The sequence below is a fragment of the Homo sapiens genome, chromosome 21, assembly GCF_000001405.40.
Source record: "Homo sapiens chromosome 21, GRCh38.p14 Primary Assembly".
NCBI lineage: Eukaryota > Metazoa > Chordata > Mammalia > Primates > Hominidae > Homo > Homo sapiens.
Genome location: NC_000021.9, coordinates 41,847,953 through 41,872,194, shown reverse-complemented (window position 1 = coordinate 41,872,194; position 24,242 = coordinate 41,847,953). Strand labels below are relative to the sequence as shown.

General features: G+C 51.0%; 1 protein-coding gene across 25 annotated transcripts in view, besides 4 other annotated features; it reads left to right on the top strand.

Moving 5' to 3' along the window:
* PRDM15 (PR/SET domain 15) overlaps positions 1–24,242 on the top strand; it is an 81,120-nt gene that overhangs the window by 7,150 nt on the left and 49,728 nt on the right. For 19 of the 25 annotated variants that reach the window (NR_135464.2, NR_104258.2, NR_104257.2 and 16 more), the window contains exons 2-5: positions 11,823–11,868; positions 12,510–12,603; positions 14,866–15,019; positions 17,377–17,629. Coding sequence is in view for 20 of the 25 variants with exons in the window: in XM_011529681.4 (XP_011527983.1) it covers positions 11,823–11,868; positions 12,510–12,603; positions 14,866–15,019; positions 17,377–17,629 (547 nt within the window). In the remaining 5 variants the exon portion in view is untranslated. Of the gene's footprint in view, positions 1–573; positions 702–4,817; positions 4,896–7,442; positions 7,528–8,892; positions 8,961–10,187; positions 10,271–10,443; positions 10,633–11,822; positions 11,869–12,509; positions 12,604–12,966; positions 13,165–14,865; positions 15,020–17,376; positions 17,630–24,242 lie in introns of those variants that run through there. The other 6 variants (XM_047440936.1, XM_011529677.3, NR_104260.1 and 3 more) reach the window with 4 other exon arrangements.
* Positions 6,471–6,520: an enhancer, noted in NCBI's record as "active region_18490". NCBI's record gives its function as "activates an Ori minimal core promoter by ATAC-STARR-seq in GM12878 lymphoblastoid cells {active_cell/tissue: GM12878}" and the evidence as "EXISTENCE:reporter gene assay evidence [ECO:0000049][PMID:35858748]".
* Positions 6,821–6,880: an enhancer, noted in NCBI's record as "active region_18489". NCBI's record gives its function as "activates an Ori minimal core promoter by ATAC-STARR-seq in GM12878 lymphoblastoid cells {active_cell/tissue: GM12878}" and the evidence as "EXISTENCE:reporter gene assay evidence [ECO:0000049][PMID:35858748]".
* Positions 7,401–7,490: an enhancer, noted in NCBI's record as "active region_18488". NCBI's record gives its function as "activates an Ori minimal core promoter by ATAC-STARR-seq in GM12878 lymphoblastoid cells {active_cell/tissue: GM12878}" and the evidence as "EXISTENCE:reporter gene assay evidence [ECO:0000049][PMID:35858748]".
* Positions 16,907–18,106: an enhancer, noted in NCBI's record as "CDK7 strongly-dependent group 2 enhancer chr21:43274198-43275397 (GRCh37/hg19 assembly coordinates)". NCBI's record gives its function as "activates an origin of replication core promoter dependent on BRD2, BRD4, P300/CBP, MED14 and CDK7 cofactors, with strong dependence on CDK7, by STARR-seq in HCT116 cells {active_cell/tissue: HCT116}" and the evidence as "EXISTENCE:reporter gene assay evidence [ECO:0000049][PMID:35650434]".

The following is a 24,242-nucleotide window of genomic DNA, read 5'->3' as shown; positions in this document are numbered from 1 at the left end:
GATAGCAAATGGGGAAGGGGAAAGGGGCACTTTTTGTTTTTTAAAGCTGTTTATATAGATACCATTTGGATGAAACCAAGAGGTTCAGAAAGTGACAAAAGAGAAGAAATCATAAAAGAAATACTCTTAAGAAAACCTTGTACTATTTCTAGCTATATAATAGCTATTTGCTTTATTTTAGAGAAGACAAAAAGAAAGACTTGGAAATAAAAGGGCCCGATGTTCCATTGTATCCTGGGGCCTTCCTTGCAGATGGGCGGGGCTGGGCCAAGGAGGGTTCTGGTCATGTCACGTAGGTGTGCGCAGGTGGAGGCCGGCATGCTACAGGAGAGACTGTACTCGGCAGGGCCGGTCAGAGCACCCCTGTGTCTGCACGTCCTGAGCCTGGGTGCTGGAGAGGTGATGAAACGCAGCAGGTCTGGAGGAGCAGCAACCATCCAGGAAGGAGGCTGCTGATTGGCTGTCAGTGGTAACAACAGAGGACCACTGTTAGTTTCTGTCATGTTTCAAGACACGTGGAGAGGGACAGTGGGCTTCTCATGTCTACTTTCGTGACCCACTGTTGGCCTACAGGTCCCAGATTGGGAACCAGAGGGTCAGTGAGCAGCTCTTGGAAACATCTCTAGGGAATGAGGTGTCCGACACTGAGCCACTGAGCCCTGCGAGTGCAGGCCTGCGACGCAATCCTGCCCTACCTCCTGGTGGGCTCACTCCAGTAGGGGAGGAAGGATATGGGCCCAGACAGGGACAGCCTGTGGCTTTAACAATGGCAGCTGCTGCTTAAGAGGGACAGTGACAGAGAGGGTGACCCCAGGCAGAGGCAGAGGTGGTGGTGCAGGAGGTTGGGGGGTGGGGGTGGGGGGAATGGAGGGCCAAAGAGAGTCCCCCAAACACTCCTGGGGCATGCAGAACCCCTGGACGAGGCTGGAAGAAAGCATTGTATTTAATGGGAAATGAGAAAGAAAGGGAGTTACTGCCGGCCTGTAGAACACATGCCTTTTAACTGCTGGGCAGCAGGCAGTGAGGAGTGGTTGCTGTATTGTGCCATTTCATCACAGCCTTGGAAGCTGGGTAAAAAACCTCTGTCTACCCATCTGTATCTGTGTTTTATCTACATGTCTGTATCTGTGTTTTATCTGTATGTCTGTATCTGTGTTTTAACACTACTTTATGAGACAGTAACAATGAACTGAAATTTGGAAGTTGTGCCAACTGAAAGGGACTTGGTGAGTACCAGGCCACCCCTCTTACTGTAAGGGAAGGAAACTGAGGCCCTTGGAGGGGCCATAACTCACCTGAGGTCTCTCTCATCTGGTAAACAGCAGAGGCAGACTCACACCCTGGGCCTGGTGTCTAGTCCTCTATCTTGTAGCAAAGCCAGGCCCTGCCCCTTTGCTGACCCCGGGAGTCTGCAGTGTGGACCATCCTTCTTGAGCACGTTCATCAGCGTGTGCAAAAGGTGCTCTTTGCCCAAATAAATTCGGGCACCTGCTGGACAGAACACATCTCAGCAGAGATTTTTGTTGAAGGACTTTTCGGGGCCTCTGCCGTGCCTGTGTGTGTCGTGACTCCAGAGTGGGAATCTGCAGGGTGTCACAAACTGACTTAGTCAGAGTCCGTCTCCACCCACCCGCTAGCCCCCTGAAGCCCACCCACAGCATTTTTCAGGATGGTTCTGCGGCGCATATTTTTGAAAATACGTTTGCTTTTTCCGTTAGTGGGTTTTCCCTGAGTGCTTTTAATATTGTCACGAGGCCGTGTGCCCAGCGGGAAAGATGCTCCTCCTGCTTCAACAAAAACTCCCTGAGCCTCCAGACCAGGGCTGGCTTCTGAGCACTTGAGATGTGCCTGGTCCAAATTAAGAAGCTGAAAGGGTAAAATACACACTGGATTGCTAAGGCTTAGTATGAAAAAAATTCCTTAATACTTTTTTTATATTGTATCTTTTCTTTGTTTATATTAATAGATGTTGACATAATATTTTGGGTGTACTGGATTAATAAAATGTTACTAAAATTACATATGTGAATCTGAGCAAGAATTTTTATGGCTTAAACCAAGATTGTTCTCAAGTTTATATGGAAAGGCAAAGGAACTAGAATAGAATGGCTGGAACAACGTTGCAAAAGAAGAATAAAGTGGGAGGAACCATTCTGCCCAGCTCTGAGACTTGATTAAAGCTGCAGTCATCAAGACTGCATTGACTGGGCTCCGCCGAGCGTGGTGCTGCTGGAGAGATCAGTGGACTAGAAGGGAGACCCAGGCATAGATGCACGTAAGTGTGGGCATCCGGCTTTGACAGAGGCGCAGAAGCCAGTCAGCAGTGCCGAGGCCATGGGGCGTTGTAGACAAAAAGGTGGACCTCAGCCTCAGCCTCTCAGCTTATACAAAAATTAATTCAGATTGGATAACAGATTTAAATGTAAGATGTATACTTATAAGACTTTTCTAGCTGGGCCTGGTGGCTCACGCCTGTAATCCCAGCACTTGGGAGGCCGAGGTGGATAAATGGCTTGAGCCTAGGAGTTCAAGACCAGCTTTGGCAACATGGAGAAACCCCGTCTCTACTAAAAATGCAAAATTAGCCAGGCGTGGTGGTGCATGCCTGTAATCCCAGCTACTCCAGAGGCTGAGGCAGGAGAATCACTTGAACCTGGGAGGCGGAGGTTGTGGTGAGCCGAGATCGCACCATTGGACCCCAGCCTGGGCAATAACAGTGAAACTCCACCATGTCTCAAAAAAAAAAAAAAAAAAATAGCCGGTGATGTGTGCCTGTAGTCTAACAACTCGGAAGGCTGAGGCAGGAAGATCGCTTGAGCCCTGGAGGTGGAGGTTGCAGTGAGCCGAGATCGCGCCACTGCACTCTAGCCTGGGCGACAGAGTGAGACTCCCTCTTAAAGCCTTTTCTAAGAAACGTAGGAGAAAGTCTTTGGAACCTTGGGCTTGGTGAAGAGAGGTCTTAGATGTGGTAATCACAAGCATAGTCTGTGAAAGGGAAGGTCCATCCATTTGACTTCAACAACATTAAAAACCATTGCTCTGCAGAAGACCCTTAAACTGGGAGTGGGAGGAATGGAAAGACAAGCCCCAGACAGGGAGAAAATACTTGCAAACTACATGCGACAAAGCATCTATATATACAGATAAGGAACTCTCAAGCACAACCGTAAAATAACCCTGTCAGTCCAACTAGAAAACGGGCAAGAGGGCCGGGCGCAGTGGCTCATGCCTGGAATCCCAGCACTTTGGGAGGCCGAGGCGGGTGGATCACGAGGTGAGGAGTTCGAGACCAGCCTGGCCAACATGGTGAAACCCCATCTCTACTAAAAATACAAAAATTAGCTGGGCATGGTGGTGGGCACCTGTACTCCCAGTTACTTGGAGGCTGAGGCAGGAGAATTGCTTGAACCTGGGAGGTGGAAGTTGCAGTGAGCTGAGATCATGCCACTGTACTCCAGCCTGGGTGACAGGGAGACTCCATCTCAAAAAAAAAAAAAAAAGAAAAAGAAAAAGGAAAATGGGCAAAAGATGCAGAGACCTTTTACTGAAGAGGATTTATTAATATTAATACATGTGGCCTACAAGCACGTGAAAAGATGTTCAGCGTCTTTAGCCACTAGGGAAATGCAAATTAAAACCACAAGGAGACACCACTTCACATCTGCCAGAATGACTAAAATAAAAAATAGTGACCCACCAGATGCTGGTGAGGCCGCCGAGAAACTGGATCTCTCCTGTGTCTCTGGTGGGAGGTGCAAAGTGCTGCAGCCTCTCTGGAAAACAGCCTGTCAGTTTATTCAAAAACGAAACATCCTCCTAACAGATGACCCAGTCATTGCACTCCTGGGCATTTACCTCAGAGAAATGAAAACGTATGTACAAAAAAACCTGTACACGATTGCTCCTAACAGCTTTATTTGTAACAGCCCCGTGTGGGAAAAATTGCAAGTGTCCTTCCATGAGTGAGTGAATTGCTAAACAAACGGTAATGCACTCGAATCATGGAATATTATTCAGCAATATAAAGGAATGAGCTTTTGATAGAGGCAACATCCTGGAGGGATCTCAAGGGCATTATTTCAGTTAGAAAAAGCCAATCTCAAAGGTCACAGGCTGTCTGATTTCATTTATATGACATTCTTTTTTTTTTTTTTTTTGAGACAATGTTGCCCAGGCTGCAGTGGATCTCGTCTCACTGCAGCATCCACCTCCCAGGTTCAAGTGATTCTCCTGCCTCAGCCTCCCAAGTAGCTGGGATTACAGGCGCCCACCACCACACCTGGCTAATTTTTGTATTTTTAGTGGAGATGGGGTTTTGCCATGTTGGCCAGGCTGGTCTTGAACTCCTGACCTCAGGTGATTCACCTGCCTTGGCCTCCCAAACTGCTGGGATTACAAGCATGAGCCACTGTGCCAGCCTATGTGACATTCTTGAAATGACAAAATTGTACAGATGGAGAAGATTTTCTCCAGACATGTGTCTTTTAAAATCATGAAGCTTTCATTTCCTAATATTTCAAAACCAGTAGCTTTTTCTAAACCTCCTCAGCCTTTGCAGATCATATTAATAAATAATCCTCAAAACGGTTTTTCAAGCTGGGCACAACGGCTGTACTCCCAGCTATGCGGAGGCTGCGGCAGGAGGGTCGCTTGTGCCCAGGAGTTTGAGGCTGTAGTGCGCTATGTTCACGCCTGTGAAAAACCACTGCGCTCCAGCCTGGGCAACATAGTGAGACTCTGTCTCTTCAACATGTATGTTTCACCTGTTCTGCTGAAGTGTGTAGAGCCTCAGCTTGCTTTCCTTTCACTGCTTTCAGGACCCTTTGCACAAAACTTTTCCTGGGGGAACCAGGAAAATCTGCCCCCAGCCCTGGGGAAGATTGCGAACGGAGGAGGTCAGGGCTAGAGTAGAAAGGAGTTGCATCTTAACTCCTTTTGGTGTTACGAAGTTTGACTACCGGCGCAGCAGAGGCCCCTGAGTGGCTGCCTTCTGCAGGGTCACTCTGTGTGTGAATAGAAAATCTGTGCAAAACTCAGATAGTCAGTGAGGTTTCTGGGCTTTCTGGGCTGAGGGTGTCGGGCATCTCCCCACATCTCAGAGCTCAGCACAGAAAGGAGTCCCTGCTCCCTTAGCCCTGTCTGGGGAGGTCACCCTGCTAGGCGAGCAGGTTGTGGTTGAACCCATCCACCCATCTGGTAACAACAGAAAGTTCGGATTCCTTGTTCTAGACCTTTCCCTGTTTGTACTGAGAAGGGAGTGAGTAGGGTCTCCCCAGGGAGTGGAGGTGTTGTGGCGTCTCCCCAGGAATCAAGATGCGGGTCAGGTGGTCCAGCCGGATCTGGGCTCTACCAGCCCTCTCTGGCTTCCCCTGTGCAGGCCCCGGTCGCACCCTCTGTTGTGTAGTGTGTGTGGAAGGGGGGAAGCGTTGTGCTCGTTCTGCTGCCCCAAATGAACAGCCCCTTCAACACCAGCTGGCCATGTTAGGTGTCCCACGAATATCTGGACAAGAAATGGACTTCGTTTTGTTTGAGCTGATAAGATGGTCTTGTGGGTGCCAGGCTGCAGATTCCAAGAACAGCATTGTTGGCTTGCAAGATTTCTTCAGTAGCACAGGCTTTGTTTGAACTTTCTTTCAAGTACGTGAACCAGGAACCCCATACACAGGCTTAGTGTCAAGTGGAGGGAAGGCAGCGGCCTGGCCAAAGCCAGACCAGGGTGGTCCCTGGAGGCCACTAAGGAGAGAGACCCCAGGCCGGGGCCACCTCCTGTCATGGACGGGGGATGGCAGAGGCCAAGCGCAGGTCATTGTGGTAGCATTGGAACCTTGCTAGGTGCTTTGTAAATATCGAAAACAATAATATAAAAGTTTAAAATCCCTTTTTATATGGAACATGTAAAATTTCTCCTCCAGATCTTAGTGCTAATCTGACTAAACTTCTGAACTTTCTTGGCGTAACTTGTGCAAATGAAACATTTGGAACTTTCCAACCACTCTTAATTATCTGGAGGTGAAGAAGGTGTCAGGTCAAAAGATTTATCAGGGCTCTCTTATACATAGGGTGCTACATACAAAATACATAAGAATTGAACAAAAGGAGTGAGTGGAAAAGTCACTTTTAAGCTTCTGTCTTTCATGGTTAAAGATCTAGTAGAGGCTGGGCGTGGGGTCTCATACCTGTAATCCAAAATGGGAGGCTGAAGCAGGAGGATTGCTTGAGGCCAGGAGTTTGAGACCAGTCTGGCCAACATAGTGAGACCAAATCTCTACAAAAAATTAAAAAATTAGCTGGGCATGGTGGTGCGTGCCTGTAGTCCCAGCTACTTGAGAGGCTGAAGCTGGAGGATCGCAGGAGGTCACGAGTTTGAGGCTATAGTGAGCTGTGATGGGACCATTATACTCCAGCTTGGGTGACAGAGCAAGACTGTGTCAAAATAAAATGAAAGAAAATAAATCTAGTAGAAAAAACAGACCATGTGCATGACATTATGTGAAACTGAGATAGTGGTTTAGGAAGAGTCAGCTTTTTGGGGGGATCACAGAGGATGTGAGAGTAATTGAAGGGAGCAAGGTGTCAGGGAGGGTGAGGTTAGGGCTCTGTCTTGAAAGACGGTGGAACCCCCATGGTGGACTGAGGGGAAGTGGCTGTGCCTGGGGTGGACCTCGCGTCCACAGCCTGGGGTGTGTTAGGGGGTGTACCAGGAAGTGGCTGATTCTCTTATCAGACGTTGACCTGTCCCGTGTGCTGGTGCCGAGGAGGGTCCAAGTATATCCCACTGTGCAAGGCTGCCACAAGCCTTGCCCTCTTGGCCGTTGAAGTGTGGTGGGAGAGACATGAGATCAGTCACACACAGGCATGGCTACACGGGTGACGGTGCTGTGAAGGAAATCGCAGAGCGCTTTTAGAAAGCATGCCACGCTGTGGACAGGTGGATCAGGGAGACCCTCCCTGAAGAAGTGACGTTAAGCTAAGACTGAGGAGTGAGCAGGCATGGCAGAGAGGGCTGGGGAGTGAGGAGTGAGCAGGGGAGTGAGGAGTGAGCCGGGGAGTGGGGAGTGGGGACTGAGGAGTGAGCAGGCATGGCAGAGAGGGCTGGGGAGTGAGGAGTGAGCAGGGGAGTGGGAACTTGCAGAGAGGGCTGGGGAGTGAGGACTGAGCAGGGGAGTGGGGAGTGGGGACTGAGGAGTGAGCGGGCATTGCAGAGAGGGCTGGGGAGAGGGCCAGCCTTGGGGGGCGAGCATGTGGAAAGGCCCAGAGGCAGGACCCAGCTTGGCGTTCCGGGAAGCGTGGCTGGAGAGGGTGGGGGTGGGGAGGTGAGGTGAGAAGGCTGCTGAGAAAGGCAGTGCCTGGTCATGTGCAGGAGTTTGGGTTTTGTTCCTGGGACAGTGGGAAGCCAGTGAAGCTTCAGGCTGGCAAGCGATGTGATTGGATTTATGTTCTAGAAGAACTGCTCTGCAGTGTGGAAAATGGGTTGGCGGCCCAGGCAGAGGAGGAAGAGTTATCTGGAGACCCTTTGCAGCCTTACAGGTGGGAGAAAGTGGGATGTGGCCAAGGGAGGTAGTAAGGGGGGCTGCAGGTAGTGGGTGATGGGCGGGTGTCAGAGGGAGGCGAGAGAGGTCACAGCGGTTCCAGGTCTCTCTGACAACTGCGTCCTAAGATGTAGGAGGTGGGGGCAGAGAGACTTTGTCAGGAGCATCCAGATGTTTTTACTTTTTGACATGTTGGTTTTTGGGTTGCCTGTTGCCTTCTGAATGAAGATGCAAATGATTTTCCTTTTATAGATTGTGTTTTTGGTGACAAGCCTAAAAACTGTGGCTTGCCCTAGAGCCCAAAGATTTTCTCTGTTTTTCTAAGTTCTATTATTATTTAATATTTTATGTTTTAAGACTGTGATCCATTTTGAGTTAATTTTCTAGTAAGATATGAAGTTATAGTTCATTTCTTTGAATGAACTGTGGATGCCCAGTTGTTCCTGCACTAACTGCTGAAATGGTTGCCCTTCCTCGCTTGGATTTTAAAATCCAATCCGCTTTTGTCTTTGTAAAAAAATGCAGGCCAGGCGCGGTGGCTGACACCTGTAATCCCAGCACTTTGGGAGGCCGAGGTGGGCAGATCACGAGGTCAAGAGATCGAGGCCCTCCTGGCCAACATGGTGAAACCCCGTCTCTGCTAAAAATACAAAAATTAGCTGGGTGTGGTGGCACGTGCCTGTAATCCCAGCTACTCGGGAGGCTGAGGCAGGAGAATCGCTTGAACTTGGGAGGCGGAGGTTGCCGTGAGCTGAGATCGCGCCACTGCACTCCAGCCTGGGCGACAGAGCAAGACTCCATCTCAAAAAAAAAAAAAATGCTTTGGGCATGTTTGTTTAGGTCTATTTCTGGGTTGTCTGTTTTGTTCCATTGATTTCTGTCCACCTTCTCACCGGTATCAAAGTTTTTATGATGGTAGCTTGATAATTAAGTTTGAAGTCAGGTAGACTGAGTCTGTCACTTCAGCCTTCTTTTTCAAAGTTGTTTTTAACAGGTGTCTTCACGGAGCGTTCCGTGTAAGGAACCTGAAGTCACCCCCCATTTGCCTGAAGTCACCCCCCATTTCCCGTTTACCACCAGGTTAGATGCAGATGGTCCTGGTCTGAGCTTAATTGACATTTCTGATAAGTTTGGTTTCCTGATATTATTACTGTGGTCTTACTGTGATGGCAGGTGTGTTTAGTTAGTTTTTGTAGTAGTAGTCATATAAATTGTAAAGAGATTTTTCAGGCAGAGCAGTGGTTCTCAGACTTGAGCTGCATCCGAACCACGTGGAGGGTTTTGCAAACAGAGTGCAGGGCCCTCTGCCAAGCCTGATTCATCAGGTCTGGGGGTGGGAGGCAAGGATGTGCATTTCTGAAATGTTCCCAAGCAGTGCTGGCACTGCTGGTTCCTGGTCCAGGGACCACATTTTGAAATCACTAATGTAAGGTAAGTCTTCCCAGGATTGGTGGTTGAGATAGGGGGACCTCACACTTTTTTTTTTTTTTTCTTTTTGAGGTGGAGTCTCACTCGGTCGCCCAGGCTGGAGTGCAGGGGCGTGATCTCAGCTCACTGCAACCTCCACCTCCCTGGTTCAAGCGATTCTCCTGCCTCAGCCTCCCGAGTAGCTGGGATTACAGGCACGTGCCACCGCGCCTGGCTAGTTTTTGTATTTTTAGTAGAGATGGGGTTTCACCATGTCGGCCAGGCTGGTCTCGAACTCCTGACCTGAAGTGATCGCCCGTCCTCATCTCTGAAAGTGCTGGGATTACAGACGTGAGCCACACGCCTGCCCAGGATCTCGAACTTCTAGTTCTTTTTTCCTCTCCTTTTCCCTGAAACAGTACTTCCTGTGTGCCTTGTTCTGGGATGTCTTGTGTGCCTTAGAGGTCTGGAGACCACACTTCCCCTTCTATGAAGGCACTTTCTGAGTGTTAAAGGGAGTTTTGCCAAGACAGCAAAGACTTTGAAGATGCTCCGTTTATCAGGCCTGATCTGCAGCCCAGGGTGGCTGTGGCCTCTGATCTTGGGCCCAGAGGAGCCGTTTTAGAGAGGCCTCATTTTGGGGACCAGATGCTGCTAATCGGGACCCTTATTGCCAGGACTCGGACATTTACATAGAATCAGAGTGCAGCACAGGGGGCTAAAACCCTGCTCTCCAGCTTCCCTCGCCCCTCTCTTCTGGGTTTCCTCTCCCAGCAGCTCCGCTCAGAGGGGACCTTTTTTGGGGGCACCTAGAAGGGGTGGGCAGTCTGTGAGAGGTGTAGGCCAGAGGCAAGGTCTGCCCCGGGGAGAGGCGGCCACACAAGGCCTCAGGGGATTCGTGCAGGCTCCCAAGTAAGCAAGGCCAGGACGACTTCCTTCCATCCTCCCACTCCGATTCCAATACCTTTGTTGGGACTCTGTGTTCTGCGGTGATCTGACCGCAGTGTGGGGCGCCTCTTAAGGCCTATCGTTCCCATCGCCCAAGCTCCTGACCGTGAGTCACGTGGGTTCCTGCAGGGGGCACGCAGGTCCTACACCTCCAGTAGCACAGCAGCAACTCATGAAAGCGTGCGCCCTCCCCACCCCACTCTGGGTTTCTTCTGCCCTTTGTCCTGTTCATCTCCTGCTCACTGCCCAGCTGAGCCCCCATCCCAGACTGGTCCCTATTTGCGCCGAGGTGCCCATCCACAGGAACTGGGGCAGGCAAGGCCGAATGCGGCTATGAAACTGAGTCACACTTGCTAGAGCCGCACGAGATACCTTTGAACGTGAATGTGTGTTCCCAGGAAAAGAAGATACAGTGCTGTTTTGGGAGAAAATTTCACCCCCCTCCCCTTGTTATTTCTGGCATTTTAAGGGCAAATTGGAACTCTCTTTCCTCTGCCTCACTTCCTTGTAGCTAACTCACTCTCCTAACTTGAAGTTTTCAACCCGGCACTGCTCTCAGACACACAAGTTCAGTGACTGTGAGTTTCCATATGAGTTTTGCACGGTCTGCTTTTCACCCTTCAAGCTGCTGGGGATGAGCGGGGTGGAGGGCGTGTGGAATCAGCATTCAAGAAGTGCCAGCATGCACACTTTCCTAAACCACTCAGCAACGGGCATCAGAGAAGCAGGTTGCAGGAAGGACATGCCGGTGCGCACAGTTGGGGATTGGGGGGGGGCAGAGGAGGAATAATCATTTGGTGGCACATACTGTGTGTATCTCACTTTATGCTCCTCCCAAACTGCATGAGGTGGGTGTTTTTATTTCCATTTTACAGCCCAGGAATGTGAGGCCCCAGAATGAACAATGTCTAGATCCACCCTGTGAATATATGTGTGTGGGGGGTGTCAGTTTATGCTCATCTACCCACTATGCAAGTGTTTCTGGAGGTGAACCTCAAGGATGGATAGGGAATAGAATTATTGGATCTGATAACAGCTTATGTGGGAGCACGAGAGTCCTCCACAACGTCACGCATTGATTTAGTCCCCAGAGAAGCAAGTGTTTATGGGGCACCAGGCATAGGTTAGGAGTGAGGGGAAAAAAAGTGACAACCGGCTTTTTAAAAATGGTGATATAGGTGGGCACGATGGCTTGTGCCATAATCCCAGCACTTTGGGAGGCTGAGGTAGGAGGATTGCTTGAGCCCAGCAGGTAGAGGCTGCAGTGAGCCTTGATCACACCACTGCACTCCAGCCTGGGCGACAGAGCAAGACCCTGTCACCAAAAAAAGGTGATATATTTGTTTTAAAAATGGAAATTGATGGCTAATATGAAAAGATGAAAGTCTGAGTTCATGAGGCCATTCAAATCCATTGCTTTCATTAAAAATAACATTATTTGAGGTGAGAAGATGTTTCAGGGATCCCAGCCCCATCCCACAATAAGAGGAGACCCCACTGTGTGCTCTCTTTAGAACACCACGTAATGTTCCTGTACTGGCTGGAGGAGGCCTTTAGTAGGAATTGTCTTTAAACATTATTTTGGTAAGAGGCCAGGCACGGTGGCTCACACCTGTAATCCCAGCACTTTCAGAGGCCGAGGCAGGCGGATCACAAGGTCAAGAGATCGAGACCAGCCTGGCCAACATGGTGAAACCCCGTCTCTGCTAAAAATACAAAAATTAGCTGGGTGTGGTGGCTCACACCTGTAGTCCCAGCTACTCAGGAGGCTGAGGCAGGAGAATCACTTGAACCTGGGAGGCAGAGGTTGCAGTGAGCCAAGATCCTGCCACTGTACTCTATCTATCCTGGGCAACAGAGGGAGCTCAATTTCAAAAACAAAACAAAAGTATTTTGGTAAGAGCTTGTCATTAATGAGGCTCTCTTGTATCCTGACAGGTGTCAGAGATGGCTGAAGATGGGAGCGAAGAGATCATGTTCATCTGTAAGTGACCCAGGGACCTGTCCCAGGTCCGAGACCAGCCCTATGTCATAGAACACAGATGGGCGTGGCGCTTGCTGTCTGGGCAAAGCCACGTCTACATTTGGTTTTTATAATATAGAAAAGCTATATATTTAAAATTTCCCTATGAAACATTTATTTAATAAGCAGTACACTACAGGGGTATGGTTTTAATAGGATCACCTTTCTCAGAACTCCTGGCCGAGGGCACTTTGCAGGGGGTAGCACTTGATTCAGAAAAGTAATCCAGGGCTAGGCAGGAGGGATGAACCTGCTAACATTGGCCATTTTCATTTATGCTCATTCTTTGGGGAGGGTCTTGGTCTTCGTCACCATGGAGGTGACCGTGCTTGATTTGAGGCGTGCGGCGGAGCTAGAGCTTTCCCTGGGGGCGTGTCCTGCCTTTGCACTCCTCATGTGTGCACGAGTGCTGACAGAGGCCTTCGGGACACAGGCCTTCTGCCATCCAATGCACCCTCCCTTGCTTGTCTTTGCAGTGTCGGCATGCATGTGTCTCATGACTCTGGGTCACCCTCATGGGGCCAGGGTCCCCATTTCCCAGGTTTGTGTTCTTTAGGTGTCTCCCTCCCTGGGTGCTCTAATGCCCGGATGTCTGCTTGCAGGGTGTGAAGACTGCAGCCAGTACCACGACTCCGAATGTCCCGAGCTGGGCCCAGTGGTCATGGTCAAAGACTCCTTTGTGTTAAGCAGGGCAAGGTGAGTGACCGCCGTGAGCTCCCGGGCCTTCCATATGCCAGCTGCGGCAGGAGCCTAGTGGCCTTTGGGTCTGCAGACGGGGAGGAAGGAGCCTGAGGGAGAACAGAGGCACTCTGAGTGAGAGCCAGCGATTCCGCTCCCACTGTGAACTGAGCAGCGTTGCTGCCGGGACACACCAAAACACGTGCTTCAAAGCTCCAGAGTGAGTTTCTTTGATCCACTCCAGGGTTCTTAGCTGGAGCCCAGCTGTTCCCGACACAGTGTGTGGAGGCTGCAGAAGAGTGGACTTGCCAAGGTGGTTGACGTGCTGAGCACCAGCAGCCAAGCTGGAGGTCTGCTCGTTGGCTTCTCTCTGCATTCCAGGTCTTGGCCTGCCAGCGGACACGTGCACACCCAGGCGGGGCAGGGGATGCGGGGTTATGAGGACAGGGACAGGGCTGACCCACAGCAGCTTCCAGAAGCAGTCCCTGCAGGCCTGGTGAGGCGGCTCAGTGGGCAGCAGCTGCCCTGCCGTTCCACCCTCACCTGGGGGAGGCTGTGCCACCTGGTGGCCCAGGGCAGGTGAGCTTGGACAAGGCACTCCTCTCCGGACCTCGGTGGCCTCTGTAGAGGATGGCAGTTCCCGTGGGGTGGTTGTGGTGTTGTGGGTGATGGTACCTGGCACGTGCTGCCGCTGCACAGGTGGCCGCCGTCTTTCCAGAACTGTTTCCAGGAGCCTCCCCACTGCCCCACAACACCGTTCATTTATTTTTTTTTCTTAGTGTGACTCAAAGAGATTAATGTTTTGGCCTAAAGTAGACAGTAGATCAACCCCCCTCTTCCCATCAACCCCCCTCTTCCCCAGAACCCTCAGGGACTGCCTGTTGCCCATGAAAATTCAGCTGAAACCCTTGGTCCTGCAGTCAGACCCTCCGTGCTGGCTCCTTGTCTCAGCGGCCTCCTGCCCGCCCTGAGGGGCCTGTGCTCTGGGCACCTCATGTCCGCCTCTGTCGGAGAGGCCTGTGCTCTGGGCACCCCATGTCCGCCTCTGTCGGAGAGGCCTGTGCTCTGGGCACCCAATGTCCGCCTCTGTCGGAGGGGCCTGTGCTCTGGGCACCCAATGTCCGCCTCTGTCGGAGGGGCCTGTGCTCTGGGCACCCCATGTCCGCCTCTGTCGGAGAGGCCTGTGCTCTGGGCACCCAATGTCCGCCTCTGTCGGAGGGGCCTGTGCTCTGGGCACCCAATGTCCGCCTCTGTCGGAGGGGCCTGTGCTCTGGGGACCCAATGTCCGCCTCTGTCCGAGGGGCCTGTGCTCTGGGGACCCCATGTCCGCCTCTGTCCTGGACGTGTCCTGGGCTCGTCCCGGCTCCTATGCCTTCCTCCCCAGACCCCAGTCCTTGACATTCTTCTACTTCAGTTAAAGAGGTCACATCCTCAGTGAAACTGGCCCGCTCCACTTGGCTGGAAACCCTTTCTGTTTGGGACTTCCATGGCCCTTGCGTCTTTCTCGGGGTGCTCTTCATATGGCTCCTCAGCAGCGAGTTCCCTGTGGTCCCTCCTCCATCGCTGGACCCCATACCAGTCTGACCCTGTTCTGTCCCGTAGCAGCCCCACCAGGGATGCACCTGTTGGCACTGTCTTTCCCACGGGGAATTAAACCCATCCTTCAGTGCACAGCCCCGCCATGGTGTGCTCTGGGTGAATCTCACCAGGGCCCTGTGGTCGGCCTTGTGTAGCTAAGGCCACAAGATTATGGGTAGTTTGCCACAGCCCGAGGGCATCATCACAACCTCAGTCTCAGTCATCATTGAGCACCTATTAGGAAGGCTTCTGTTGTTTTTTTTCTTTTCTTTGAGACAGGGTCCTGTGCTGTCATCCAGGCTACAGTGCAGTGGCACAGTCTTGGCTCACTGCAGCCTCAAACTCCCGGGTTCAGCCATCCTACTGCTTTAGCCTCCCGAGTAGCTGGGACTACAGGCACATGCCACCATGTCCAGCTAATATTTTGTATTTTTTGTAGAGACAGGGTTTCACCATATTGCCCAGGCTGGTCTCAAACTCCTGGGCTTATACAGTCTTCACACCTTGGCCTTCCAAAGTGCATGCTGGGATTACAGGCGTGAGCCACCAAGCCTGGCCTGGAAGGCTTCTATTTTATCACCTGGAGAATTTTATTTCCGAAGAACCCTGGCGGTCAGTGAGGGCGAGCTTTTAGGTTATCTTAACGAGTCGGTCCCTGGGTGTGAGTGCTCTCTTTTGAGTCTTGTTTTATTCCATTTCCAGGTCATCCCTTCCTCCCAACTTGGAGATCAGACGACTGGAAGATGGAGCCGAGGGGGTGTTCGCCATCACTCAGCTCGTCAAGCGGACACAGTTCGGTCCCTTTGAGTCCAGGAGGGTCGCCAAATGGGAAAAGGAGTCTGCATTTCCCCTGAAGGTAAAGGCTGTTGCCAAACAGGAGCTCAGGAACTGGGTGTTTTTCTGGCGTTCCCATGTGGGAATGGGGAGCAAGGACCACTGAGTTTCCATGATTTATAAATGCCTCAAAAACAGCTCCAAATATTGTAGGTCTGCTTAATTTCCAAGAAAATGTTTCTTTTTACATTGCAAGAGCATCGATATTAAGTTAGTATTTTGTAATTTTCAATTTTGCAGAACACTAAAGAGTGTGTTTAAGACATATGCAGGAGAAACCCAAATGCTGACTCCAGCTGTCTTACGACCTCCATTGCTGTCGCAGGCTTTACGAGGCAGCGTCTTGCAGGGGCCCATCGCTCTAGTTATTTCCACACCTGTGCAGAGCGTATGGTAGTTTGCAAACCTCTTTCAAAGGGAAGGTGTTTGTTTAGGCAGTGATGAGACATTGGGCAATAGTGTGAAGTTTGGCCGTTCTAAAAAGCACATCAGACTGAGAGAAGACAGTGGTTCTCTACTTTGACGTGAACTCGAGAAAACTAAGATGTATGTAAATTGCAAGGCAGGCTTTAGAATAAGTAAAAAATGAGCCCTCTGGAAGGCTATGAGGCCAGGCGAGGCTGGTTTTTGACTGTTGCCATGCCTGCCCTCTGTATCGTACCCCAAGCCAGCCAGTCTTCAGAAATATCTGTGAAATAAACAAATGAGGAATGGGTTGTTAGTCAGCAAACTTTTCTTAGAGACCCTTGAAATGGATCTGCTTGTCTTAGGACAGGCAGATGAAGTCAACAAGCTTGGGTTTTTGGAAGTCCTTTGGAAAGCTGAGCTTGTAAGGCAGATTTCAGCAAAAAGGGGGGAAGAAGGAAAGGCACTTGATTTGTTTACAAAAGAAAGAAGGAAGGAAGGGAGGGAGGGGAAGGAGGGAAGGAAGGAAGGGAGGGGAGGGAGGGAAGGAAGGAAGGGAAGGAAGGGAGGGGAGGGAGGGAAGGAAGGAAAGGAAGGGAGGGAGGGGAGGGAGGGAAGGAAGGGAGGGAGGGGAGGGAGGGAAGGAAGGAAAGGAAGGGAGGGAGGGGAGGGAGGGAAGGAAGGAAAGGAAGGGAGGGAGGGGAGGGAGGGAAGGAAGGGAGGGAGGGGAGGGAGGGAAGGAAGGAAAGGAAGGAAGGGAGGGGAGGGAGGGAGGGAAGGAAAGGAAGGAAGGGAGGGGAGGGAGGGAGGGAAGGAAAGGAAGGAAGGGAGGGAGGGAGGGAGGGAAGGAAAGGAAGGAAGGGAGGGAGGGAGGGAGGGAAGGAAAGGAAGGAAGGAAGGAAAGAAAAGGCTGTTTTAAGTTGAAGAAATATGTAACAATGCTTAAAACAGCCTCAGAAAGGCCGTTGGCTACCTGCCTGTCCTTTGCAGCACCCATCCGGTCGACGTACACAGTTGGTGTGGGTGCACGGTTGGGGGCGAGGCCCCTTTAAAGAAGTCTTTTGTGCCCATTTTGGTGGTCCTTCAGCTACGCGATTCTGAAGGTCATCGCCTGGTACTGGGTTGTTCTCAGTGCATGCACCAGCGTTCAGCTCCTCTGTGCCCACCAGAGAGAGCGTGCCGCCAGCTGGGAGCACACCTTCCTCAGCAGCTGGTGGTCATTAGGTGCCTGGTGGTCCCCCACCCCTGCCTCTCACTTCCAAGGGCTCCGTCTTTGGAGAGGCCTCTCTAGGAGAAGCTTAGGAGAGGGGAGAGCTCTCTTCCTGCAGGGAGGAAGAGACCATGACATCAGAAAATAAGGAACAAAACCCTCCTATAGTCATGTGGTTGATTTGAACTTCAAAATATGTAAGTTTTTCTCCCTGCTGCCTGCCTGCATTTAATCCATAAAGCAATAGTGCTGTTTGATAGATGGGGAGGCAGCTCATAAAGCCTGAGGAGCCCAGCACCCTGTGGCGGAGCTGGGAGTAGAACTGTGTCCCAGTTCCCAGTGGGCCATCTGGAGAGCCTTAGGTGTCCCCGTGACACGTGGACTGGGAGTGAAGCTCAGGTAGCTCAAAGCCCACCTGGACCAGGACTAGAACTTTGGTGTCCCCATGCCCACTAGAACCTGATTAGAACTTGAGTTCCGCACCTGGGCCGTGAGTAACACTCAGGTATCCCAATGACACATAGACCGCTGGCTGTGTCTGCTGCTTCCTTTTGCCTGTGACTAACCTGACCCGTCCAAACCACATGGTCTACCTGTGACCCTCCTCACTATTGTAAACACCTCAACATCCCGTACAGGAGCCCTTATGGCCTCTGACGTGGCACTGTCTAGATGGGTTCCTCAGCACCTGCCCCCCACACGCTGATACACAGATGGGTAATCAGCCATTTCCCCGGCTTCTCCATGGGCCGACTCACCTTCAGGTGTTCCAGAAGGACGGGCACCCCGTGTGCTTCGACACCTCCAACGAGGATGACTGCAACTGGATGATGCTGGTGCGGCCAGCGGCGGAGGCCGAGCACCAGAACCTGACGGCCTACCAGCACGGCAGCGACGTGTACTTCACCACCTCCAGAGACATCCCCCCGGGTACCGAGCTGCGCGTGTGGTATGCGGCCTTCTATGCCAAGAAGATGGACAAGCCCATGCTGAAGCAGGCCGGCTCTGGCGTCCACGGTATGTGGCGGCCCCCGATCCGGAGCCCACCTTCCCTTGTGCCTCGCCGAAGGGGTTATGGTCCCTTGGCTCTGTGCTGACCCCACACTGATGAGATGGGTTGGGCTGGGCCAGCTGCTGGGATGCGGAGAGTGGAGGAGTGGAGAGTCGGGTCTGTCTTTCTGCTTGTTTTAAACATCCTTGGTCAGTTTGGGCACGTGGATGTAACACAAGTTAACACAGTGAGGCAGTGTTTAACAACAGAGATACATTCTCAGAAATGTGTCCTGGGGCGATGGCATTGTCATGAGTGCATGGTAGAGCGCACTCTCGCGCACCTTGATGGCCTGGCCTGCTACACACCCAGGCTGTATGGTGTAGCCTGTTCTAGCTACCAGCCTGTCCAGCATGTGACTGTACTGCATGCTGTGGGCAACTGTAACACATGGTCAGTATTTGTCTATGTAAACATAGACAAAGTAATAGAGGAAAAATACTGTATTAGAATCTCATGGGACCACTGTCTTTGACTGAAACCTTGTCACATGGCGCATGACTGCTTAGCTCTGCCCTGGGGGCTACGTGCAGTGAGTGACCCATCCTCCTAATCCTATGAGGCTGGGGTACTAGCCCTGTCTTTGGACGGAGGAAACAGCACAGAGAGGTTAAGGAACTGACCCCAGGTCACAGTGGAGTAGATGAAGAAATCAGGATTGGTCCATGGCACCCGGCTCCAGTGTTGCTGCTCACCGTGCAATGGCCTCCTCCCAGATTTGGGGGCAGTGTGTGTGTGCGCGCGTGTGCATACCTGTGTGTGTGTGCATGCGTGTTCAAAGAAAGCCCTAGTGAAGGTTATGTGCGTGATCTGCCCAAATCTAGCATTCCTGCTGAAAAAGCGGGTCACAGTGCCTGTCCTGCTAAGCCGGGGTCAGGGCATCACTTTGCCCATCAAGCGGGGCTGCTGAATTTTAAATCTTTCTCATCCATGTTATGGGTCTTTTTGACATAGATCCTCCTCATAAAACCTGAAGAAACTCTATGAAATTCCTGGTATTTGATGTCTTTTGACCTGCAAAACAGCAATTTCATATTGCCGAAGCTGACACTACCCAGGGGAGCAAATGTTATTTAATGTTGCCATGAAGATTCTTTGCTCAAGGGGGCGAAATAGATATTGACTCTCCTGACCCCCCTCCCAAATGACCTGATTCTCATACGAGCATTGTTTCCTTGTTTTATAAATGCAGTGTAATCCAAAATATTAGTAGCTCGGTAGCTTAAGATTCTTAACTTATTGGAAGGTTCTGGTCTGTCCTGTTTGTCAGTATGATTGAGGCTTTGTAAAATGCCCCTGGTTGTCCCTAATCCCAGGTCCACAATGGGCTGTGTGGGAGTGTCCCGGCGCTGCGCTGCCCCCATAAAACACCAGCAACCCAGTGCCTTCACGTCAGAAATGTGCCTCCCGCAGTGCTGGAGGCCACACGCCCACGGTCAGGGTGTCAGCAGGGCTGGTCCCTTCTGGGCACCCTGAGGGAGAATCTGTCCCGGGACTCTCCCCAACCTCTGGTGGTGGCTGGCACAGTAGCCTTTTGTGTCCCTTGGCTTATGGCTGTGTTACTCCAGTCTCTGCCTGTCTTCTCTCCCATGTCTCTGTGTCATCTCTTCATAAGACCACCCGTCATTGGATTCAGGCCTCCCCAATCCAGCATGACCTCACCTTAACTTGATGACATCTGCACACATCCTCTCCCAAAGGTGGTAGGTGGATGTGAATTTTGGGGAGCCACTATTGAACCCACTATGGGCCATGTGAGGGCTGGGTGGAGAGGGGCCGCTGGGGATGCTGCTGGGGAGGGTTGGTGAGGAGCCAGGCGGCTCCCTCTGGGGCCTGCAGCGGTGGCGGCGTCCTCTTCGGCCAGGTTGGTAAAGTGAGCTGAGTGTACTGGGGGCTTCGCACCCTTCGCAGAGAAAGACTGTGGCTTTGTGGGGAGATGTTTAAGAATGAAAAGGACAAAAAGAACTTGGAGAAACCCACTGCTCTTCACCCAGCTGCTCCTAGCCCCACCCTCGTGGCTTTGCCAAAACCAGGTGCCTGGCCTGGCCCAGCACAAGGGAGGCCCCTGTGGTGGTGCCTGCTGGGTCAGGGGCCGTTTCCAAGTCCTGCGAGGCTGGGCTCTCTGAGCAGAGCCCAAGTAACTGTGATCTTCGGGACCTGGGCTCCTTGTGTCTGGAATTCCTGAAGGCCTAGGCAGCTGGCAGCACGTGTGCCCACGGCCAGCCCAGACTGCAGCCACGCCGGGGTTTGGGTTCTGAGATGCCGGCCTTGGCCGTTTACCCCCTTGTCAGCTTGTATCCTGGGGGATGCCCTCACCACCCTCAAGGCTAAGGTCAAAGCAAAGGTTGCCACGCCTTATTGGAGCTACAGGTGTTTCGTATTCATTTTACCTGCTGGAGACCCTTCAATCTGGAGCTGAGTTTGAAACAATAGATTTAAATGAAGTCAGCCTGGGACTGTGGTGTCGAACAGAGTCGCCTCTGATTTCGGAGATCCTAGGGTAATTCCCATTCCTCCCTAAAACCTCTCAGAATAAAAGGACACTTGTAATAATTCTACCAGGACAGTCTGTGTAAATGGGAACGTATGGTCACCTGAGCATAGCTTAAACCTAAACAAGGTTTTTAATTGGGGAAATAAATAAACAACTTAGTTACTCTTAGATTTCAGAAATGCTTTTTAGGATGGTCACTTGTGTTTGGGGACAAATGGCAAGCAGTTATTTCTGGAGAGGTAGTGAACATGGCGATTCCACTCACTGGCTGGTTGGGTCCTTCCTTCCCTTTCCTTCCCGAGAGAGCCCCCTGTTGAGCTCTGGCTTGGCCCTTGAAGTGCTGCCGGCTGCCCTGGGGAACTTTCCCTGGGGTCCACCTGCTGATTGTTCAAATGGCAAGCCAGCAGCCGCGTCAACACCTGCTCCTCACACACACGCTGCCTGTCACCCTCTGCAGCCGCGTCAGCGCCCCCGCCACACACACACTGCCTCTCACCCTCTGCCACCTATCTGGCTCCTTCCCCTGAGCCCCTCCTCCCTGACCCTGCCAGGGGTCCCTCTCGAGGCACAGTGGCGCTTCTAGAGCCCTGCCCGCCCAATGCACCCAGGGCCCACCAGAGTCTGAGTGTGTGTCGAGCACCTCACCCAGCTGAAGCTATGCACTGGAGCCCAACGCTGCCTGCGTCTCAGAAATGAGTATCTCGATAGATAACAAGACCTTCGAAGAGAGGCTAGAAACATCCAGAAAGCTGGCCGCTTGCCCAGTTCTCACTGTTCAGACTGGATACGTGAAGGACTGGAGTTCTAGGGTAACTGCGTAATCCCACTCCTGCTCAGTGACGTGCCCTCTGGGGTGGACACTCCCAGAGAGAACGCTGCTGCATGGTGGGAGAAAAGGAGGCCTTTTGTGCATTGTTGTACCTCTGGCCCAGTGGGAGTAGGCAGAGTGATGTGAGTGGCCTCCGGGGCCATTGGTGTGCTCCTAGAACCGTATTGGCAGCCGACGAACCCAGGAACCGTCTTCCTGTAAATTACTTATTGTGGTGGCCGAGTCTTTCCTGGTGAGCGTGAGAGATCCTAAGACTCAGTGACTTAATTCTGTCTCTTTGATTTGCTCCAAACATGCATCTTCGTGTAGAAATCAGTCAGTTTTGCAGATCAGTGGCGCCGTCTTCTAAATACAGAGAAAACTTTGGTTTTGTACTGAAGGAGCAGTAACACATCCCTTTAAAAGTAACTTATTATTTTTTTCTGGTAGTGGATTTTACTTTTCTAGTTCCATCTTTTTCTTTTTTTGTAGTTTTTTGAGATAGGGTCTGGCACTGTTGCCCAGGCTGGAGTGCAGTGGCATGATCGTGGCTCACTGCAGCCGCCCTCGTGGGCTCAAGTGATCCTCCCACCTCAGCCTCCCTAGTAGCTGGGACCACAGGGATGTGCCACCACACCCAGCTAATTTTTTTAATTTTTATTTTTAGTAGAGATGGGTCTCACTGTGTTGCCTAGGCTGGTCTTGAACTCATGGATTCGGGCAATCCTCCCACCTTCCGAAGTGCTGGGATTCCAGGCGTGAAGCACTGTGCCTGGCCTTAACTTGTTCTTGAGCTCACATTAAGATTGATTTTGTTTCTTTACAAGAACCTGAACCTGCTGACAGATGGAGGGGGCAGCCGAAGAAACATCCTGGATCTTCATGGGAGAGAGCATGAGGCCCAGGAGGAGAGTGTTGGGGGGGCACCAGGAGGAAAGTGTGGGGGGGCACCATGCCAGCAGGGCGTTGTTATGGGACATCCCGTCCCCACCAGCTTCTGTTCCCTTTTAGTCTCGCTCTGAGAATCCGCTGCTTGAAGAATCCCACAAGATCGTGGACGAATGGAAATCAGAGCCAGAGTCCCATTTCTCACTCACCTTCTCAAACACACATGGGTTCCAACGAGAAAATTTTCAAAATCACCTTTCTGGTGAAAAGAGTAAAATACAAACACATTTTATAACATTGGGGAAACTGTTCAGTCACATATAGCATCACTGTTCTAACTCAACTGCTGTTGCCATTTGATTCGCATTTTCTAGTATTTTTTATTTTAATTTCATTTTATTTTTTTGAGACAGAGTCTTGCTGTGTCACCCAGGCTGGAATGTGGTGGCCCAATCTCAGCTCACTGCAACCTCTACCTCCCGGTTCAAGCAATTCTCTTGCCTCAGCCTCCCCAGTAGCTGGGATTACAGGCATGTACCATCATGCCCAGCTAATTTTTTTATTTTTAGTAGAGATGGGGTTTTGCCATGTTGGCCAGGCTGGTGTTGAACTCCTGACTTGAAGTGATTCACCTGCCTCAACCTCCCAAAGTGCTGGGATTACAGGCATGAGCCACCTCACTGGCCCCTGTATTTTAAAAACCAGCACTGATGACATATAGTTTACATTCAGTAAGACTCAACAATTTTAAGTGTACAGTTCAGAGACTTTTTTTTTTTTTTAAGTCAGTCTGTCGCCCAGGCTGGAGTGCAGTGGTGTGATCTTGGCTCACTGCAACCTCCACCTCCCGAGTTCGAGCAATTCTCATGCCTCAGCCTCTCAAGAGCTGTAATTACAGGCGCATGCCACCACGCCTGGCTAATTTGTGCATTTTTTAGTAGAGACGGCGTTTTGCTATGTTGCCCAGGCTGGTCTTGAGCTCCTGGCCTCAGGTAATCCACCCATCTGGGCCTCCCAAAGCGCTGGGATTACAGGCATGAGCCAGTGTTCCCGCCAGTTTAGAGACTTTTGAGTGTCTACAGTTGTATAAGCACCACCACAGCTGAGTTACAGACCTCGACTTCATCCCAGGAAGTTCTCTCGTGCGGCCCTGCAGTCAGCCGCGCCCACTGGAATGCCAGGCTGTTTGCTGTGCTGTAGCTTTGCTGTTCCTTTTTTGTTTGTTTGTTTTAAACTCTGCATTTTTGCATAGCGGAGCTCTAGCTGCACCTCCCATCTTACTGCTTACTTTTCTTTGTGTGCACAGTCTGGCTCACCACATCTTAGGCCTTTTTCCTACTGTTACTATCTCTGGCATCACTTTAAAGCTGTATGATGTTAGATTTTGCTGGGACACTTCTCTTTTGTTGGATATTTAAGTGATTGGCAGTCAAGAATTGCCTTCTGACTGTTAACTAATATTTTCTTCTTAAGAATTCTTATCTTTTACAATTACTATTCGGAAAACCCTGAGTGCTTCTCTTGATGAGCGGGCAGTCGTCATGACAAGTTTTTCTAGTCCTCTTTACCTAGCAGCAGAGCGCCAAGTTGAGGAGAACCCACACTTGTGGGGGTGTGGAGGCTTATTGCTGGAGACAATGGCCCACGTGGATTCGAAGAAATTCCCCTTATTCAGAAGTGGTGGCTTCCAGCTAACCTGGGCCCTTGTCCTCTTTTTCTGAAACTCACATGCGAGTGTTTTTCTCTCTTTGGAACCCGTGTATGTTTGGGAAGGTGAGTGGGAAATGGGAATTTGGCTCTGATTTCCATTTGTCCTTGATCTTTTGGGATTCTTCAAGCAGCGGATTCTCAGAGAGCAAGCGTAAAAGGGAACAGAAGCTGGTGGGGATGGGGTGTCCCAGAAAAATGCCCTGCTGGCAGGGTGCCCCCCACACCGTTTTCTGCTCTTTCTTTATTTTTAGTATGACAAAAAATTTCATATTGCATTTATGCCTCTTTCTTCTTGTTATCTTATGAAAACTCAGAACATGCATGCACAGGGTGATAGCAGTAACCTATATCTTTTTCCTTCATTCATTGCATCCTTAGTGCTGGTTTTGGATATGAAAAGATACATGTTTTTTTCTAGTGCTGAATGCATATGCAGTTGTACTTCTGGATTATTTTTTTAAAGACCCAGGAGTTTGTCTTTGTGAGTGGCCCCTGGAGTTTGCCGTGGGTGATGAACTTCAATGCAGGCTGTATCGTGATTAGAGTCGAAGTGATGGGCAGGGGTCCTGCCCTGGGCCAGCCCCCAGAGCTGCCAGACGAGGTGTAGAGAAACTGGCCTGGGCCAGATCATGGTACACTCACTTAAAACGCCTCCCAATTGTAGGTTGCACAAGAGCAT